We start from the raw sequence: 20,357 nt of genomic DNA, 5'->3' as shown, positions 1-20,357 counted from the left end.
CAAGCTCTATGTGCCTTACATCTGTGTGGCCATCTTATCCTCACAAGCTTACAAGGTAGGCACTATTACTCTCCTCACTGTACAAAAAGGAAGGTGAGACACAGAGACATTGAGTGATTTGAGCTGATCCTACAACTAGTGCATCCGGAGCCAGAGCTGGGACCCAGGCAGCCCGGCTCAGCAGGCACCTCTTCAGGGCTGCTGCCTCTTGTTGCCATAGCAATGATGTCCCGCACCATAGAGGCTGTGGCTCCAAAGGGTACCCCAGCCTCACCACTGGTTATTGACATGTGGTCACCAAAAGTGAACAGCATAGAGAGGAATGGGCGGGGAAGATGTCTGGGGGTCAGGGCCATGGGAACCCCCAGGGGTGAAGGAAGCACTCGCTGAGGCAGGGCAGAAGGTATGGAAGGCCAGGAAGTGATTTGGGAAGCCTGTGGTGGGAGGAGGCAAGTGGAGTGGCAACCATCTACTGAATACCCGCTAGGTACCAGGCAGTGCAATGCTGGTACATTTAATCCTCACAACTGTGGCCAGGTGGCACTCTGCCCAATTCACAGATCTAAAGAAAGTGAGAACCAAGGGCAGGTCACTTGCCCAAGGAAGATCACCTAGATGGCAAATGGTGGAACCAAGAAGCAAATCCAGGTCTATCTGAATCCAAGGCTCAGAAGAGGGAGCATATCCCAGAGGGAGGCCTCAAGAAGCGAGCTTGGGCTGAAACAACTCGGTGGTTTGAGCTTGTACCCACCCCCAGGGTAGGAGGTGTCTCCTCTGAAGTCAGCAATGTTGACCGGGCTGGTCTTGAACTCCTGGCCTCAAGTTATTTGCTCACCTCGGTCTCCCAAAGTGTTGGGATTACAGGCGTGAGCCACTGTGCCCGGCCTGAAATTTTTAACTAAGTTCATCACAACAGTCCTAGGAGGTAAGTACTACTATCATCTTTTTATGTGGAAACTGAGGCACACAAGGTCAAGTAATTTGCTCAAAGTCACACAGCCAGGTTAAGGAGCCAGGCCTGGGACCCTGGCCTGCAGCTGCAGAGTCCTTGTTCCTAACCACTATGCTGCTCCATTGCAGGCTGCACTTGCTTGTATACAGAGCCCCCTGTCCCAGCTTCTGGCCTCTGTTTTCAGTCGAGGGCCTAAATTCTGTCTGGTCCCACCTGGGAGTGAGCACTGAGAGCTGGGTGACAGAAGGCAAGTCCATAGTTTAACACTGCCTCAGATTCCCTCACACTGGCCAGCAGGGCTCTGGGACTCCAACTCACAAGGCTCAGCCCATTAGATATGTTGCTCATGTCAAGTCTCTTGCTTAAAAAAAAAAAGTGTTACTCCAATTATAGAATCAATACTTGCTCATTATAGAAATTAATTCAGGCAGGTGTCTATTTAAGAAAACAAAAATTACCCATAATGCTACTCCTCAGAGATAACCACCTCCCCTGGCATTTCGAGGTATTTCTTTCCATGTTTGTATGTTTCAAGCACATACGTACTATTTCCTCTTTTCAAAAACGGGATCATACTGTACATATAGTTTTATCCTCTGCCTCTTAAAAAGACATTTTCTCATTTGTAGGTGCCACTCAATTCAATCATTCTGCTTCAAAGCCCTTATCACTGCCCAGGAAGTTGTATATTTTACCTGTCTGCTTACTGTCTGTCACCCCTGAACGTAAGTTCCATGATGATCTGTTGTGTTCACTGTTGTTTTCCCATGCCAGAAACCTTGAATGGTATATTGGTTCTCCATAGATATTTGCTGAATAAGTGAATGAATGAACAAATGCAATTTTATATCCTTTTATGGCCCAGGCATTGTGCTAGGCGATGTTCTTACTCCCTCTCCACGTACTGTCTAGAGGAGAGGTGAGTAAAGAAACACAAAACCATCACCCTGGTGCAAAGTCTTATCTCTAACACGTGGGATGACAGCAGCACGTTCACTCTCTCCTGTCCATCCTGAAACAAGTAGGGGCTTTACACTCAGAAGCAAAGGGTCATCAGGAGAGCTGTGTCACACACACACACACACACACACACACACACACATTCAGATGTAGATCAGGCCAGAATGATGCTTCAGTTGGAGACAAGCAGGCTACTAAGCGCACATCCCATCGAGGCTGCCTCTGACCCACTGCATCATCAACTGTGTGTACAGTCTGACCTTAAGTGCACACAGCAGAGACTACATGGATTCACTGTGGTGTCCCTAGTGCCCAGCACATAGTAGGATGTCAATAAGTCATGTAGAACTGAATCTGGGGTTGAATCGAATTCTCAACAGTAAAAATGGCCAGCAGGCTCAGTGCAGGCTCTCTGGGGTTTGTAATAGGGAGCAGCCCTGAACACATGTGATTTTATAAAGGCATAAGCAGAATGGGGATGGCCTGAGCAGGCACCGCCATGACAAGCAGACACGCTGGCCAGCAATTTATACACATTATGTAATGATTGCAGATGAGATGAAACAGCGCAGGATCTGCTTCACAACAATATGGGAGCAAACAAGTACGAGGGATCTTTTGGGGGGGGTGTGACAGAAGTGTCAAAAATTGGATTACAGTGATGGCTGCACAACTCTATCAGTTTACTAAAAATCACTGAATTGCACACACTTAAAAAGAACGACTCTTTTGATATTAAGTTGTATCTCAATAAAGCTGTTAAACAATAACATGGCAGTGGAACCACAGCTCCACAAGGACTGACCATGAGTTGATGATTGTTGTAGTCGGGTGACAGGTACACAAGTGTTCACTGTGCTATTCTCTCTACTTTTGTGCATAGCTGAAATTTTCCATAAAACATTTTTTTAAAAATACACTGCTCGGCTGGGCGCAGTGGCTCATGCCTGCAATCCCAGCAATTTGGGAGGCCGAGGAGGGTGGATCACAAGGTCAGGAGATCAAGACCTTCCTGACTAACACAGTGAAACCCCGTCTCTACTAAAAATACAAAAATTAGCTGGGTGTGGTGGCGGGCGCCTGTAGTCCCAGCTACTCGGGAGGCTGAGGCAGGAGAATGGCGTCAACCTGGGAGACAGAGCTTGCAGTGAGCCAAGATCGCGCCACTGCACTCCAGCCTGGGCGACAGAGTGAGACTCCGTCTCAAAAAAAAAAAAAAAAATACACTGCTCCAGCCAGCCGTGATGGCTCACGCCTGTAATGCCAGCACTTTGGGAGGCCAAGGCAGGTGGATCACTTGGTCAGGAGTTTGAGACCAGCCTAGTCAACATGGTGAAACCCTGTCTCTACCAAAACATAAAAATTAGCTAGGTATGGTGACGCATGCCTGTAGTCCCAGCTACTCGGGAGGCTGAGGTGGGAGGATCACTTGAACCCAGGAGGTGGAGGTTTCAGTGAGCCGAGATCATGCCACTGCACTCCAACCAGGGTGACAGAGTGAAACCGTATCTCAAAAAAAAAAAAAAATACACTACTCAATAAGCTTAGAGAAAGAATTAACAGTCATTAAGACAAAAGAGGGGAGGGGGAAAAAAGGATTCAGATTTGCAGTCATCACTCTTCCCATAAAGGCATGAGAGGAAGTTGTGAAATTATTCTTTTTATTTTTAAAACTATAAAATAATAATTCTGTTTAATAAGCAATTCGAGCAGTGTGATACACAATGGGGCTTCATTCAAGAGTAGACAACGATTTTTGGTTCCTTTCGATAAACTGAATGAAAGTGCAATAGTTCACATTCTGACCACAGCCAGACCAAACGATGAGGCTCTACATTCACAAAAGTTACCAGTGCAAATACCAGCGCAGAGCCTTGGTGGGAGCAGGTCTGGTGCAGTCAAGCAAACCCTGGCTGGTGTCTGAGTGGGGCCAGGTGGGCCACAGGTGGGCAGCTGTTATCTGCGGCTTTCCACGACTCTCAGGTGCAAGGTGGGCTGAACACAGCTCATCTAAGTCTCTGTGAAGAATAGAAGAAACCTTCTGGAGCAATGACGATCAGGATTGGCTGGAAAAACAACCAAGCTGCTTGGATCAACTTGGTAGAGAAAAGAGCCTGAGGTGTCTGGAAATATGTCTGGCATGGTATAATTTTACAAGCCAAACAAAGATGTTATGTAAGCAGAAAAAGGAGCAAAAGGGCTCACACTAAGATGAGACTGACTCCTTACAGCCAAAGCCCAGGCCGGCTTAGCCCCCAACAGGGAAGCCGCCCCACAACACCTCAGCTTCGCTCCTTTCTAAACCTCTTTCCTGCCTGAATCTCACAGACACCCTTGACTTCCTGCTCTCTAGAGGCTCAGCAGACACTTAAACCCCTTCCTAATTGACAGTTCATTGAAACTCCTGTTTATTTTACATTTCTCCTCCATGAGGTACCCCGATCTGGTTAGTATTGAGATGAGGAAATGAAGGAAAAATTCAAGGTCAGGCAGGTGGCCCCAGGAGTCGGACTCTGAGGCTGCAGGGAGGACTGAGGCTGCACTCTGGCCACCTCTGGCAATGGGGTTTGTTGCAAAGGGCCTGGGGAGCCCTCTCAGCACCTCTCAGGCAGGCTTTGGAGAGAGCTGGTGGGCCTTCCTCACTGCTCAGGGTATAGCCACAAGCGGGCATCCTTCTCTCCTGCTCCTGTGTGTCCCTGCCATGTATTCTGGGACCAAGCCCCTCTCACAGCACACTCTCCACAGGAAGGACCGTATTTACCCATCACTTCATGGGCCTCAGACCTTCCTTGTGTCCAGACTATGAACAATGCAGTCTCTGCCCTAGCCAGTTTGGCCCAGGGTTAGGTGATGCCACATACTGGCATAGCTTCCTCAGAAGAGGCTATGGGCATGACAGACACTTAAGAGTTTGATCTAATGAGACTTCCTATCCTAAACACTACAGAGGTCTAATACAAAGTCCACACAAAATGAAGCTCACAGATCACGCCAAGGAATAGCCCCAAACTCCCTTTCCAACGTCTGCTTCTACTTTCCCATGCGTGACCCATGTCCAAATTGAAATAGACTACAGGTCATTCTCTATCCTTTAATCTGCCCCCTGCCAAACTCCTGCTTCTAGATCAGATTTCCAATAGAACTTTCTGTGATGATGGAAATGTTCTCTACTTGTGCTGTCCAATATGGCAGCCCATGGCCTCCTGTGACTACTAAGCCTTTATAATGGGCTAGTGTGACCAAAGAACTGAATTCTTAATTTGATTTTCATTAATCTAAATCTATATAGCCCTCATGTAGCTAGTGGCTATGGTATTATACAGTCCCAGACTGTCTAAGAAGCACTCTCTTGCCCTCCTGGTCCCCATACCGAGGGCACCTCTCCCGCCCACCCTTTCTCTAGCATCTGCCACAGCTCCTTCCAGTCTCATTCTCATGCCCTTCATGAGAAGAAACTTCCTTCAGATCCAGGCAGGGTTTGGGTTTCTTTGGATCTCACAAGGCAGCCACTCAATAAAAGAACTCACTACGTGTTTGTCCTGCTCAGTGGGACCAGACCTTTGTCCCTCCTTAGATTAAGTATTGGGCTTCTAGGAAGGGCTACTCAGCTAGTCTGGAGAAGTCAGTAACCTTTCATAAATAGCAGCCAGGGAGTGGTCCCTCCAGCCATGCCCTGAGTTCATTTCTGTGTAAACCCAGTTGTATTTCCACTCAGTTCAATGGCTGGTGCCATTTTCTAGTGGTGTGGCCTTAACTTTATCATGTCTCAATTTCTTCACCTATATAATAGAAGTGATCATATACTCTATTAGGAAGTTATGAGGGTAAAATCAGTCAATACATATAAAGCACTGTGCTTGACACAAAGTAAGTATATAATATAGCACATCATAAAGTATATAATAAGTAGTGAAATAACTACTAACATTTAAGGGTTGATGGTTGAGCTTGGGTCTAAAAGGCACCTCTGGACTTAGCATTAAATTATCAAATAATCTAAAAAAAATGCATATCCTTTGAACCAATAACTTCACCTCTAATAATTTTAAAACACTCATGCATATCGGCCAAGATTTATTTACAAGTCATGACAGTGTTATAAAAGTGGAAAAATTACAAAACCTGTAGATATCAAATAGTACTTGTTAATTAGATAAATTATAGTTTAGCCTTATGACAAAATACTATGTAGCCATTAACAAAAATGTTCACCTAGCAAAGAAAAAAAAAATCAGGCATAGAAGTTGTAACTCCACCCCTTCCGCCACCCTAATAAAACCACAGATAATATATTTGAAGAAAAATACTACAGACAAAATGTCAACTGTGACTCTTTGGGGGTCATGGCATTATGGGTGATTATTTCCCCTTCATGCTTTTTCTGTGTTTTTTAAAATTCTGTATTAAAAATATTACTATTTTGTAATTATGAAAAATGTAGCTTTAAATAATCTTGCTTTCATAACATGGGAAAATATTCATGACATAAATATTAAAAAGGTTAAGAAAGACTCATGGTGTGAAAATATAACCACTGAGAGAAGAAAATGGAAGCCAAGTGCCTGGTGTGTTAACTGTGGTTAGCTCTAGTTTTAACTCAGGGTTTTAGGTTAGGGGAGCAGATATTCTAGTTTGCTCAGGCAAATCCCAGTTTTTGTTTTGTTTTTTTGTTTTTTTTGAGACGGAGTTTCACTCCTGTTGCCCAGGCTGGAGTGCAATGGTGCGATCTTGGCTCACCGCAAACTCTGCCTCCCAGGTTCAAGCGATTCTCCTGCCTTAGCCTCCCAAGTAGCTGGGATTATAGGCGTGCGCCACCATGCCTGGCTAATTTCATATTTTTAGTAGAGATGGGGTTTCTCCATGTTGGTCAGGCTGGTCTCAAACTCCCAACTTCAGGTGATCCGCCCACCTCGGCCTCCCAAAGTGCTAGGATTACAGGCGTGAGCCACCACACCCAGCCAAATCCCAGTTTTATGCTTGTGACCAGGTGCCGACCGGTGTCCTTTCCTGCTCAAAAATATCCTGTTAAAATTACACACCCAACCTAATTATAAGGAGTTCTAAGGTGTTTTTCTAGACTTCTAAATTCTAGTGAACTCAATGTGTTTCCTTAATTCCAATTTGTACCTTTCTACATTTTAATGTTGTTGAGACTGGAATGTACTATATATACAACAGATTGGCACTCTTCCCCCACCAACCGAACAAGTTATAAAAATCAATGGTCTTAAGGTTGGTGGGAGCTTAGAATTGAGGAAACAGAGCATGTTAATTTACAAATGGGAAAAATTTAGAAAATACATTAAATGCTCTTTTATTTTTTTTTTTTTCCTGGAAAGTCAAGATTCTAAGACCTGGGTAACTAGATAAAATCAGACAAATGAAATCCCTATATACAGCTAGGGTCTTACTGGGATTAGGAGCTCATGTTTCCCACAGGCTCCCTGATGAGGTCAATAACAAAATAAAAGGGTGTGACTGCCAAGAAATCTTCTCCAGGACTGGCAGGAGTGGGGCAGGATCTACAGCCCTTGCTGAGACATAAGCTTTTTTTATAAGGAGCCGAAATAATACCAATAATGATAATTATTTTCATAAATGGCTAATACTCATTACGCACTTATGTGCCAGGCATAGGGCTGTCAAATTATTATGACAACCCTATTATGCCCCTCATTCTACAGATGAGGACACTGAGGCACAGAGAGGCACCTGCTCTAGACCACAGAGCTGTTTACACAGAACTGGGATTCAGTCCTTTCCATCTGGCTGCAAGGTCTGCTTCTTAACCACTGACACTGCTTCCTGCCTCTTCTATGTTTTTTCTACGTTTTTTGCCTCTGGCCTCTGTTTTCAGCAAAGCTCTAACTATAAAGGTTTCCCAGGACAGTGGCTCATGCCTATAATCCCTGCACTTTGGGAGGCCGAGGTGGACAGATCTTTTGAGCTCAGGACTTTGAGACCAGCCTGGGCAACACGGCAAAACCCCATCTCTACAAAAAATTGAAAAGTTAGCTGGGTGCAGTGGCGCACACCTGTGGTCCAGCTACTCGGAAGGCCGAGGCTGGGAGGATTGCTGGAGGCCTGGGAGGTTGAGACTGCAGTGAGCCATGATCAAGCCACTGCACTCCAGCCTGGGCGACAGAGTGAGACCATGTATCCCCCCAGCCGCAAAAAAAAAAAAAACCTTTCCCCAAGGGCTCAGTGGTCTGGGAGAGGGGGCAAGAGGCTTAAACAAGCTCCCTGCAACCAGATATTCTGAATCCTTTGGCCTTGGTAATGGGGTATAAAAGAACACCCAACACTGCGTTCATGTACTGTGGCTGTGTTTTCCAAAAATGGCCACAGCGATACTTCTAGTCTCATATGCTCTTGCAGAACCTTGCCACTCCCCATCAGGAAGTATAATCTGTTTCCTCTCCCCTTGAAGCTGGGCAGGCCTTGGTGGCCGCCTGTAATGTGATGGAAGTGACACGACGTGATCTGCAAGGTGAGGTCGCAGCCTACAATACCAGTTCTTTCTGGTCCGCACTCTCAGGCTGCTCGCCCTAGGAACCCTGGCACCATGTTATGAGAGGCTTAGAGCACTGGAGAGGCCATGTGTAGGTGTTACAGCCCATAAGGCCGCCAGCCAGCATCAACTGCAATGTGAGACAGTAAGCCTTCAGATGACTCTGGCCCCAGCTTTCAAGTCTTCTCAGCTGAGGCCTCAGGCATTGTGGAGTAGAGATAAGCCTTCTCCACTGCGCCCTGTCTGGATTCCCGACCTGCAGAATTTGTAAGAATAAGTGGTTGTTTTACACCATTAAATTTTTGAGTAATCCGTTATGGAACAAGCACTTAAAGAGAAAAAGGTCCTATCTGGCCTCTATTGAAAGTAACATATGCACTGTTCTGGGTTTCATGTTTTGATTCTTTGCACAGGGAAGCTGAAATCTATCCAGAGGACAGTGACGGGCACAGGTGAAAGAGACACCATCTGTGACCTGCACCTGGGGGGCTGGCTTAAAAATGTGTCCTCAGCAGATACTCTTAGGATGGCTCAGCTAAAAGGCAGCTGTCACCTCTGAGAAGCTTGTTACTGAATATTATAGAATGAAACCACCCTGGTGGCCAAACCTTGAGAATAGCTTGATAAACCCCCACCTCCATACTACATCACTGCAGTTCTGCTCATTCTGAATCCCCTGCAGGCTAGAGGCTCTGACGGGGCTAACTGCTGGGCCTGGGGGCTCCACGCTCTGCTTCAGGTCAATGAAGAATGTCAGTGACAGAGACACTTTGGAGAGCTCTTGGTTTTGGCTTCCCAGTAGCCACAGAAACCGAGAAGGAGCAGTAGGAAGACACACAACTTCTGCCTCCACCCTCCTCTCGGCCCCTACCCCTGAGCAGCTTATAAGAATCATTTACTCATGTTCTCTGTAAGATTCCATTTGAAAAGAGAGTTCTACCAGCAAATATATCTACATATTGATTTTTCTTAAAATGAAATGTGGCCACTCTTCAGTGCCACAGCAAAGGTAGGTCCTTTTGAGTTTGGTGTGCTCATACCACCCAATGTGTGCTTTGTGACAATGCAATTATCTGACCACTTTTCTCTACTCGAGCTACTAGCCTGCTGGCCTCAGAAGGATGAGAGGCACGTGGACAGTGCTGTCACTGCAGTTACCCCAGGAGAAGCCAGCCCAGATCAGATGACAGCAGCCAACCCCCAGCCACAGAAGCAAGCCTAATTTATAATGAGCAGAGCCAATCCCCAGCTGACCTCAGTCATGTCAGCAATGAACTTTTATTGCTGTATGCCACTGAGGTTTTGTGCCTACAGTTATGATGGCTGGACTTATGATAGTTCAACTTATGATTTTTCAACTTTACAATGGTATGGAAGTGATATACATTCAGTAGAACATCAATAAATTACTTGGGTTATTCAACACTTTATTACCAAATAGGCTTTGTACTAAATGATTTTGCCAAACTGTAGGCTAATGTAAGTGTTCTGGGCATGTTTCAGGTGGGCCAGGCTAAGCTATAATGTTTGGTAGGTTGAGGGTATTAAATGCGTTTTTGACTTAACAGTACTTTCAACTTGCAATGGATTTCTCAGGAGTAACCTCACCATAAGTTGAGAAGTGTCTGTATTTGTTATCTAGCAAAAGCTAACTGATACATCTGTTTTCAGAATTTTCCTGGTTTCCCAGTCAGGCAACCCTAGCTTTTAAAAAGGAAAGGAGAATGAAGTTATTCATTCAAGGATTATCTACTGATGGCCAAATACACGTCCAGCTCTGTGCTTGGCATTAGGGCTACGAGACGGCACTGGTTGCCATTTTGCCAAAGATAATCCTAAGGAACCTTGACACAGAAGAAATAGTTCTGCTGCTGAGTACTTTTGCCACTATCCTGGGGAAATAAATATTTGGAGAAGCTGTGGGGCCAGTCCCAGCAGGAGGCCTGGCACCCAGCCCTGGGCCCGTGCCAGAAGTGAGTGCCTGTTGAGTTTCACAATGTGGGTGTAGGCCGCCTTGATTAAAACCCCAGGCAGCACAATGCCAAATAAGTGCCAGCCTGGGGAAGAAGAAATTAGTCTGGGATAAAAAACGACAAAACAAGAATAGAAAAGCCATTAAGGGATTTGTAAGCATGTGTCACGGATGAAAAATCACTATTGTTGAGAACGTGTGATCATCACGTTGTGCCCTGTGGGGCCTGGGGAAGGAAGTATGAGTGTTAGCCAAAGGCTTGCCTTCCATCAGAGGAAGGAAGGCCAAACAGGAGCAATAAAGCATGGCTAGCAACCCCCACAGGTCAGACAGTCACTCAACACAGACAGTAGGGGCTAGTTCACCCCGTTGGGCCTCAGTTTCCTCATCTTTGGCATGAGGGATAATAATCAAATATACTACAAAGAGTTAATGAGTTAATACAAGGATTAAATGAACTAATTCAGGCAAAATATTTAGAACAGCCTGGTACTGCTCCAGTAAATGCTCAACAAATGTTAGGTATTAAAACTTCTTTCAGAAGTTTCTTGGGAGGAACAAATAGGATAATGTTTGAGGTCTTGGCACAAAGTAGCACAAAAATGATGATTCCTCTAAGTGCAGTGTGTTGTCACCAGGAGATGAGCAAGATATGAGGACAGCTTAGACACGGACCCTGTCCTAAAGGGTAAGGAGCTTAAGATCCAGACACAAGTAACGACAACAAAACAGGGGATAAATACCACCAGAGAGCTACAATTTGTGAGGAATAGAGGAAGGAGAAGGTCAGGCATGTCCCGTATGAAGAGCAGACATGGCCCTGGTGTGGACTCCACAAAAGCATTCCAACACACAGAGAAGGGGAATCAGAGGCTTCTGGCAGTGGGAACACAGCCACAGAAGGCATAGGGGTGGGAAAGCACAAGAGTATATTTGGGAACAAGAGGGTTGTTGTCCATGTTAGGCAAACTGCACAGGTATGTGAAGAGGTGTGATGGGAAGCAAAGCTGGCGGGATGGGGTGGGGATCAGATTCCAGGCTGAGGAAGTAGATATGCTAGGTGGGCGATGGGGAGCCAGTGAAGGTTATTGAGCAGAGAAGAGCCACAGCAGAATTGTTCTTCAGGAAAATGAATCTAGTAGCAGGTGGACTGGAGATGGGAGAGAAAAGACACAGAAGTCAGTTTGTAGGAGGCTGTGTCAGTTCTAGCAAGGCAATGGGGACTGAAATCAGAATAGTGGCCAGAAGAAAAGGGAGAGGAGCTGGGTGGGAGAGGAGGGCAGCAGGTGGCAGGAATGTCCCAGGGAGCCTCCAGGGACCCAGGCTGCACGGTGAGGTGGGGAGCAGGGTCGCCTCCAGTGGGAGGGTCCAGACAGCCGGTGAGACCAACAAAAAAACTTCCCTGGCTGGCTTGGCTGCCTCAGATTGTTGACAACATGGTCAAGCGATTCCGTCTGTGCAAACTCTGCCATAAACTAAACCGCTGAGTCAAGCAAGCAGGCAGCAGGCCTTGCCACTTCTGCAGGCCATTAGCTGGCCCCCTCTCCTGCCCCCAGACCCAGTTCTGAGGAACAACTCCCCAGAGAGGGCCTCTCCCACCTGCTCTCTGGCCGCTGCATTTTTTAGGGAACAAAAAGCCAGCTGTGGTAAACCGCCCTTCAGTCAGGCAGACAGTGGGACTATGGCGTGGACACCTTGCCCCTTTCTTCCTCCTCCAGCCTTTTCAACCGTGTCCCCAGTTCAAAGGCATGATCATTGTGACCTGCAGGCCCAGGTACAGCTGAAGTCATTTCAGAAGGCTGGCGTAGAGTCAGCCCTCCCCTGCTGCCTGCATTCTCCTTTGCTTTCTCACTTTTGAGTCATCTGAGTGCCAAGTGAAAACAAAGACCTCCCTTCAGAAAGTTCCCCACCTCATTGGGCTTCACTTTTTAAAAATAACCTGTTAGGCTGGAACCTGGCCACTCCCTACATTTCCCCTCACCCGGCCTGCGGGGTCATTCTCAGGCCTCCTTGCCACTGCAAAAGCCTCCTGGTGGAAAGACAAAGAAGGCCTTTCAGTCCCCATGAAGCAGGCTCTGCTTCTGCCCTGATCTGGATGCATCTGGAGGAAACAGGGAGGCCACAAAGAGACATGGACGAAAGGTTCATCCTCAACAATACCTCCTCTCATGTGCCTGCTAATGGAGAACTAGACTGCTCAGATAAACACAAATAAACTGTTCTTCTAAGGTGACAACAGGGACCCAGCACTTGGTAGGACCTCAATAATGTGACGCAAATCAATTTGAATCTAGCTACTGGACTCAAATACTTCTTCCTACATCCTGTTCCTGAATTGAGCTGCATAACTTCAAGTTTTTCTAACATGTAGGCAAAAAGGAGAAACAGATAAACCCAAAAGAACACCAACCACACAGAGAGGAAAGAGAGACCAGGATTCAGAATAACCCACACTAGACCATGAATACATGAATATCTCAAAAGGAAGGACGCAAAGTGGGTTGAGTCATTAACAAGCTTACAGAGAAACTCCAGGCTATCAAAAACCCTCCATAAAATATTAGCATATCATATCCAACATATATAAGAAATACAAATGTACCACAGCTAAGGTTTATCACAGGAATGCATGAGTAGTTCAGTACTTCCAAATGTTTCAAATGTATATGCCTTATGAACAGACAAAACAAGAAAAGCCATATATTCGTATCAACTGAGACAGAAAAAGCGGCATTTGACAAAATTCAATATCCAGTCATGATTAAACAAAACAAAACAAAACTTTCAGCAAGCAAGGATAGGAGGGAACTTCCTTGACTGAGAAAGGGCATCTAAAAACCAACCCACAGCTAACATGATACTTGATGAGATACTGCATGCTTTCCCCCAACACAGGGAACAAGGAAAAGATGTCTTTTCTCACATTCTTATACTGCTGGAAGTTGCAATAAGGTAAGAAAAAGAAATAGAGGCATATGGATTGAAAAGGAAGAAACAAAACTACTTCATTGGTAGACAACATAATGATCTATGTAGAAAATCCCAAAGAATCTACTAAAAACCTCCTTAGAACTAATAAATAACTTTAGTAATGTCATGAGATACAAAACCAATTTACAAAAATCAACTGCATTTCAATATCTTAGCAATGAACAACTGAAGTTAAAAATTAAACACAAAGGAGAGGACTATTTACAATAGCAGCAAAAAGGGAAATATTTATTAGGTATAAATCTAACTTTACAATATGGTGAAAATGATAGAACACTGGTGAAAGAAATCAAAGACCTAAATAATTGGAAGGGCTCACCGTGTTCATAGATATTATTAATTCATGATATTATTAATGAGCCAATTCTCCCCAAATGGATATGCAGGTTCAACACAATTTCAATCAAATCCCAGTGATAGGCTTTATTACTGTTATTTTTGTAATATTGGAAAACTGATTCTAAAATTCATATGAAAAGGGCAAGGAATGAGAATAACCAAAAACAACTTTGCAAAAGAGCACTATCCAATTTCAAGATTTACTATTAAGTTACAGTAATCAAGACAGTGTGGTACTGGTGAAAGCTTAGACAAATAGACGAATGCAGCAAAACAGAGTCCAGAAATAGACCCATATGAATATAATCAGCTGGTCTTTTGAGAGAAGTGTAAAGTAATTCAGTGGAGAAAGGATATCCTTGTCAACAAGTAGTGCTAGAAAAACTTGATATCCATATATAAAACAACGACCCCTGGCCCATACTTAACCCTTATGCAAAAATTAATTCAAAACGGATCACAGACCTAAAATATAAAACTGTAAAACGTCTGGAAGAAAACGTAGGAGAAAATCTTTGTGACTTGGATTAGGAAAAGAGTTTTTAGATAAGATACTGAAAACACAATCCATAAGGAAAAAAAACTGATAAATTAGACTTTATCAGAGTTAACTTTTGCCCTGCTCTTTCGAGAGACTAAGAGAAAGAAAAGGCAAGATATAGAGCAGTGGAAACATTTTGTAAATCCCATTTCTGACAAAGAACTTTATCCAGAATATACGAACAATACTCAAAACCTAAAAATAAAAAACCAACAAGCCTATTTTTAAAAATGGGCAAAAAATGTGAATAGATACTTCACCAAAGAGGCTATGTGGATGGCAAATAAGCACATGAAAAGATGTTCAACATTATAGTCTTTAGGGAAATGGAAATTAAAACCACAATAAGGACAGGCGCGGTGGCTCGCAACTGTAATCCCAGCACTTTGGGAGGCTGACGCAGGTGGAGCTCTTAAGCCCAGGAGTTCGAGACCAGCCTTAGCAACACAGGGAAACCTGGTCTCTACAAAAAATACAAAAATTAGCTAGGTGTGGTGTTACACGCCTATAGTCCCAGCTATTCAGGAGGCTGAGATGGGAGGATTGCTTGAACCCAGAAGGTGGAGGTTGCAGTGAGCTGAGATCATGCTACTGCACTTCAGCCTGGACACCAGGTGAGAACCTGTCTAAAATAAATAAACAAACAAAAAAAAAACCAAAAACAAACCACAGTAAGATATCATTACCTACCTATTTGGATAGCTAAAATTAAGCAAAACCCAAACTAGAAAATACTGATAATATCAAATGCTGGCAAGTGTGGTAAACAACAAGAACTCTCATACACTGCTGTGGGAATGCAAAATGGTATAGCCACTGTAAAAAACAACTTTGCAGTTTCTTATACATTTGAATATATACTTAACGTACGACCCAACAAAACTACAGATAGGTATTTACTTAAGAAAAATGGAAACTTACATTTATACACCCAAGAAAAACCTGTAAATGAATGTTTATAGCAACTTCATTCATAATCGCCAAAATCTGGAAACAGATGTCCTTCAACTGGTGAACACACACATATCCATATCATGGAACACTACTCAGTAATAGAAAGAATATTTTTATTATCCAAGTGATAACATGGATTAATTTAAACCCCTTTTCCTAAGTGAAAGAAGCCACTCCCAAAGCTACATGTTATATTATTCCATTTATACGACATTCTGGAAACAGTAAAACTATAGGGATGGAAGACAGATCAATGGTTGCCAGGAGTTACAAGGTGGGGAAAGGATTGACTATGAAGGGGCAGCATGAGGGAATTTAGGGTGATGGAACTGTTCTGTACACACTGTGGTGACGGATCTATAACTCTATGCATTTGTCAAAACCCACAGAACTGTTCTAAGTGTTCCGAAATTGATTGTGGTGATGACGGTACACACTCTGTGAACAGACTAAAAACTTCTGAATTGTCACTTTGAATAGATGATTTCTATAGTATGTGAATTCTATCTCAATAATGCTCTTATTTAAAAAACTTAAAAGAAAAAGACATCTGCTGAGAAACCACACAATGACACTGCTGTGGAATGACAGTTAGATTGTGAAGAAGAGATGAAATTCAGAGGTCCCAGCCCTTAGTACACTTTGTAAAAAGTTCACTTCATTTCCATAGAAATGACTTTCTCTGACTTTCTCTGCCCTGGAATTTCTTAATACCAAAAGAAAAACCTTAAAGCAATACCACAGCCCCCAACACTCACAGTTCATCTACACCAGAGCCCAGGCTTTTTTGAGCTTGCCCAGCAATTCATTCTTAACAAGTACATATGGTTGGGCGTGGTGGCTCACGCCTGTAATCCCAGCACTTTGGGAGGCCGAGGCGGTTGGATCATGAGGTCAGGAGATCAAGACCATCCTGGCTAACAAGGCGAAACCCCGTCTCTACTAAAAATACAAAAAATTAGCCGGGCGCGGTGGCGGGCGCCTGTAGTCCCAGCTACTCGGGAGGCTGAGGCAGGAGAATGGAGTGAACCCGGGAAGCGGAGCTTGCAGTGAGCCGAGATTGCGCCACTGCAGTCAGTCCGCAGTCCGGCCTGGGGGACAGAGCGAGACTCCGTCTCAAAAAAAAAAAAAAAAAAAAAAAAAAAAAAAAAAAATTAGCCCGGATGGTGGCGCACGTCTGTAATCCCAGCTACTCAGGAGGCTGAGGCAGAATTGCTTGAACCTGGGAGGTGGAGGCTGCAGTGAGTCAAGATCGCACCATTGCACTCCAGCCTGGTTTACAAGAGCAAGACTCTGTCTCAAAAACAAAACAAAACACAAAAAAGTACTTATGTGCACATATATATCATAATTAGAACAATGCTGATCTCAAAAACTTTTCCCCTACTTCACAAGAGAAAACTGAGACCAAGAGAAGGGACGTGATTTACCCAAGATTACCTACCCATGTAGTGGGCAGCAGAGCCAAGAGCCAACCCAATAGTCTTTCTTCATCACCTTGATGTCTATGCTAAGTCAAAAACACAGGCCTGGCATGTATGACATGCTCTACAGATGACAGCTAAATACAAAATGAAACGTCTGAGAAACCTTGGACAAAGACCAAGTGGGCTCTCTCCTCATGCAGACACAGACCTGTGCTAATCTAATATTCTTATCAAAGGGACTAGCATAGATTTGCAGAGGCAAGTTGGAGATGTGCAAAGGGAAAAAGGAAATGAAGACCTTGTAGAAAATATTATGAATATGGAATAGCAAGAACAGACCCAGCTAACTTCTGGAGAAAAGATTAAAGATCTCACTAGACTACTGAAAGGAGGTAATAAAAAAATAACTAACATTCACTCAGAGCTTAAATACTTCAGAGAAGATCTGCACAGTAACCCTGAGCAGGTAATATTATCACCCCCATCTCACGGAAGAGGGAACTGAGGCATAGAGAAGGCAGGTGATGTACCCAAGATTTCACTGAGGAGTAGGAATCCAGCAGTTCCACTGCCTCAGTTTCCCTCCCTTATCAGGAGATGAAGAGTAGCATGAAAGAAAGTACTTAATCCCAACGGGAGGGCCTACTGAAAAGGCAGCATGACAGTGGAAGACGACCTGCAGGTGTCACAAAGGTGCTGATGGTCTCAGGTCCCTGCTGGTTTGCTTGACACAAGGCAAGGGAAGTTATGAAGGTGGCCTGTGATCTGTATGGCAGTGAGAAAGTCACTACTTGACATTCTCATCCTTTAGAGAGTGTATCCACAAGGGGATGCGTTAAAATGCAGGTCCCTGGGCCCCTCAGCCAAAGTTTATTATTATTATTATTATTATTTTGAGACAGAGTCTTGCTCTGTCACCCAGGCTGGAGTGCAGTGGCGTGATCTCGTCAGCCAGAGGAGTTTTTAATCCAGTGGGTCTGAGCTGGGGCCCAGGAATCTGCGTTTTGAACAGGTTTACTTCCATCCCCAGCTAAAGTACTTTGGCTGGTCCCTGGGCTAGACTGTGGACAACCTTGGCCTCTACAGAAGAGAGGCAAGACAATACAGATTAAGAGCTTGGCTTTGGAGTCAAACAGTTCTGGGGTCAAATTCCCATTGCCTCTTAGCTGTGTAACCTGGAAAGGCTATGTAACCTCCCAGGGCCTGTTTTCCACCTGGAAAGTGGAGGTGACAAATAGTACCCCACTTAGAGAGCTCTTCCAATACCTGAAAAGCACTACGCACAGTTCCTGGCATGCATCACATGCTCTGCCCACAAGAGCTAAATGCAAAAGTAAAACTCTCACTGGGTCCCTGCAGCACTTCCGTTGTCGTAAAGAATTGGCAGGCTCCATATCATAACATTCTTGGGTTATCATTTCCTCTTCCTTAGCTAAATTTTCTGGAAGGAATCTCTTCCTGTGTATGAATCAGAAACTCAAGAGAAGCCACACTTCCCCAGCATCCCTTTTCCTCCCATGAAGCTTCAATGGTAAAGTTTCTTCACCTCTCCCCTTGCCCCAGGGATGGAGATTGACATTGACTTAGAGTGGACATCTGTTCAGGGGCAGATGGTCTGTGCAATTTGAATATTTATTATCTTGGTAATTTGTACTTCACCTCTTCCTAAAGTAATGAGGCAATAAAAGGAGCCTTAGTAAGAAATGTCAAAGATGAGGGGACGAGCAGAGACTTGCACCAAACAGAAGCTGTGAACGCAGTGCTGAAATACAGCGGTAAAGAAGGTGCAAATTTTCAACGTCAGTGGAACGTGGAGAATGAAAACTGAACCAAGAAAATGTAGCTTGGTCATTTGGTCCTGGGGTGGTGGAATTCCCTGGAAATAGACTCTGAGAAAGAGATTTGCATGCAAAAAGTTAACTGGGGAGTGCTCTCCAAGAGATTACAGTGGGAGAGTAAGCAAGACAGGACCAGGTGGAGGGAGGATTTGAGCAGTCATAACAAAGGCCTTGGCTGATACTCCGAGGAGCACTGAAGCTAGGACCGCTCTTCAGAGTTTTCTCTGTTGAAGCAAGCAGACCAGGCCTTCCTGACTCTCCACTGACCACTGGATACAGGCTGCCCCCAGGGAGAGGTTAGGCATCATCTTGGGTGAGGCGAGTCCCTTTGGTGGACATCAATTTGTGGGGAGGGACTCAGCAGGCCACATTCTTGGAACCTGCGGCGGATGAATGCCTCAGCAATAAAGGGGATATTTGGGCACACACCAGTATGGCCACTGCAACTGTTTAAGTGGGCTCTTTCCCCAAAAAAGTAGTTTAAAAAGAATAGAAAAATCTTGGCCCAAACTTGAATAGCCACATAGGAAAAAAGCTGCCTACTGACCAGGAACCCCCATGCTGGGGTTCCTAAATGGCTGAGGGAGAAAGCTATCGTGTCAAACCAGTAACATTTGAGAGTTATTTGTTACAGCAGCTAGTGTTGCACTAATAAAAAAATCTAAAACTATGAGAAACACTGTGAATGAAAAGAACTGGGTGCTATTAGAGGAGTTATAATGGAGATGAAGATTAGTTACCTCTGAGTACAAATGAAATGGACCAAAGGTGTGTTAATAATATCTTCTAATCACTCTAATCTTATAACAGTTAATAAATGAATGTATCAATGAATCAGCTAATTCATTTGTTCTGATATGTCACTGTCTTTAAGGTCATAATCATGTTACAAATAGAGGTTATTTTGAAATCAACAAACTAAGTTATATATCCTGTGAATAAATATCCATCTCTCAGAATTTATCTTAAGGAAAATAATCTAAGTCAAAAGAAAACTCTACTGCATACCGTAAAACAGCGATTGGCCATTTCTTTTTGGTAAATGACCAAATAGGACATATTTTAGGCTTTGCGGGCCACACAATCTTTATTGCAACTCCACTCTGCAGTGCTAGTGTGAAAGTGACCATATGTAATACATGAATGAATGGGTTTGGCTGTGTTCCAATACAACTTTATTTACAAAAACAGGTGGCAGGCCAGATTTGGTCTGTGGGCTGTAGTTTGCCAACCCCTGAAAATGTTCAATGTAATATCATTTATAGTAGCTAAAAGCTCAAAAGCAAACCTACATGTTTAAAAGTGAGTGGTCACATAAATTTAAAAATATCCACTTAGATGATTGTACATATTATGTGCAATTATGAAGCTTTTATAGCAACAGGGACATTACCAAATATTAAATTTTGTAATAGAAAAATAAGCAACAAAGCAGAATCTATTATTGTCAGTAGGGTAACAGCCCTGCAAACTTTACACATATTCTTAAACAAGGGCCAAAATATAACATTGTAGAAACTGTGGAATGGTGGGCGCATGGGTGAATTTAGTTGTTTCAAATAACTTTCAGATTTAATTATATTAATGTTTCCCTATTCATATTTGTGTAGTAACAAACATCTCAAAAACTTAAAAAAAAACGCTAGGTCTATAAAATCCCTTCAACTTAAGACCCAGATGAAAAAAACTGCTGGAGGAATTAATGATGCAGTGTGTGTGTGTGTGTGTGTGTGTGTGTGTGTGTGTGTGTGTGTGTGTGTGTGTGTGTGTCAGTCTCAATCTGTTGCCCAGGCTGGAGTGCAGTGGCATGATCTCAGCTCGCTGCAACCTCTGCCTCCTGGGTTCAAGCAATTCTCCTGCCTCAGCCTCCCG

The 20,357-nt window shown here is 44.0% G+C and overlaps 1 protein-coding gene across 2 annotated transcripts in view, besides 5 other annotated features; it reads right to left on the bottom strand.

Moving 5' to 3' along the window:
* The window catches only part of CMTM7 (CKLF like MARVEL transmembrane domain containing 7), a 63,676-nt gene that overhangs the window by 22,793 nt on the left and 20,526 nt on the right, over positions 1-20,357 (bottom strand). The window lies entirely within an intron of this gene.
* Positions 8,761-8,850: a silencer, noted in NCBI's record as "silent region_14169". NCBI's record gives its function as "represses an Ori minimal core promoter by ATAC-STARR-seq in GM12878 lymphoblastoid cells {active_cell/tissue: GM12878}" and the evidence as "EXISTENCE:reporter gene assay evidence [ECO:0000049][PMID:35858748]".
* Positions 11,897-13,096: an enhancer, noted in NCBI's record as "MED14-independent group 3 enhancer chr3:32461132-32462331 (GRCh37/hg19 assembly coordinates)". NCBI's record gives its function as "activates an origin of replication core promoter dependent on BRD2, BRD4, P300/CBP and CDK7 cofactors, and independent of MED14, by STARR-seq in HCT116 cells {active_cell/tissue: HCT116}" and the evidence as "EXISTENCE:reporter gene assay evidence [ECO:0000049][PMID:35650434]".
* Positions 12,306-12,385: an enhancer, noted in NCBI's record as "active region_19636". NCBI's record gives its function as "activates an Ori minimal core promoter by ATAC-STARR-seq in GM12878 lymphoblastoid cells {active_cell/tissue: GM12878}" and the evidence as "EXISTENCE:reporter gene assay evidence [ECO:0000049][PMID:35858748]".
* Positions 12,476-12,545: an enhancer, noted in NCBI's record as "active region_19635". NCBI's record gives its function as "activates an Ori minimal core promoter by ATAC-STARR-seq in GM12878 lymphoblastoid cells {active_cell/tissue: GM12878}" and the evidence as "EXISTENCE:reporter gene assay evidence [ECO:0000049][PMID:35858748]".
* Positions 12,606-12,665: an enhancer, noted in NCBI's record as "active region_19634". NCBI's record gives its function as "activates an Ori minimal core promoter by ATAC-STARR-seq in GM12878 lymphoblastoid cells {active_cell/tissue: GM12878}" and the evidence as "EXISTENCE:reporter gene assay evidence [ECO:0000049][PMID:35858748]".

Source organism: Homo sapiens, chromosome 3, assembly GCF_000001405.40.
Source record: "Homo sapiens chromosome 3, GRCh38.p14 Primary Assembly".
NCBI classification, from domain to species: domain Eukaryota; kingdom Metazoa; phylum Chordata; class Mammalia; order Primates; family Hominidae; genus Homo; species Homo sapiens.
This window is presented reverse-complemented; position numbering and strand designations above follow the sequence as displayed.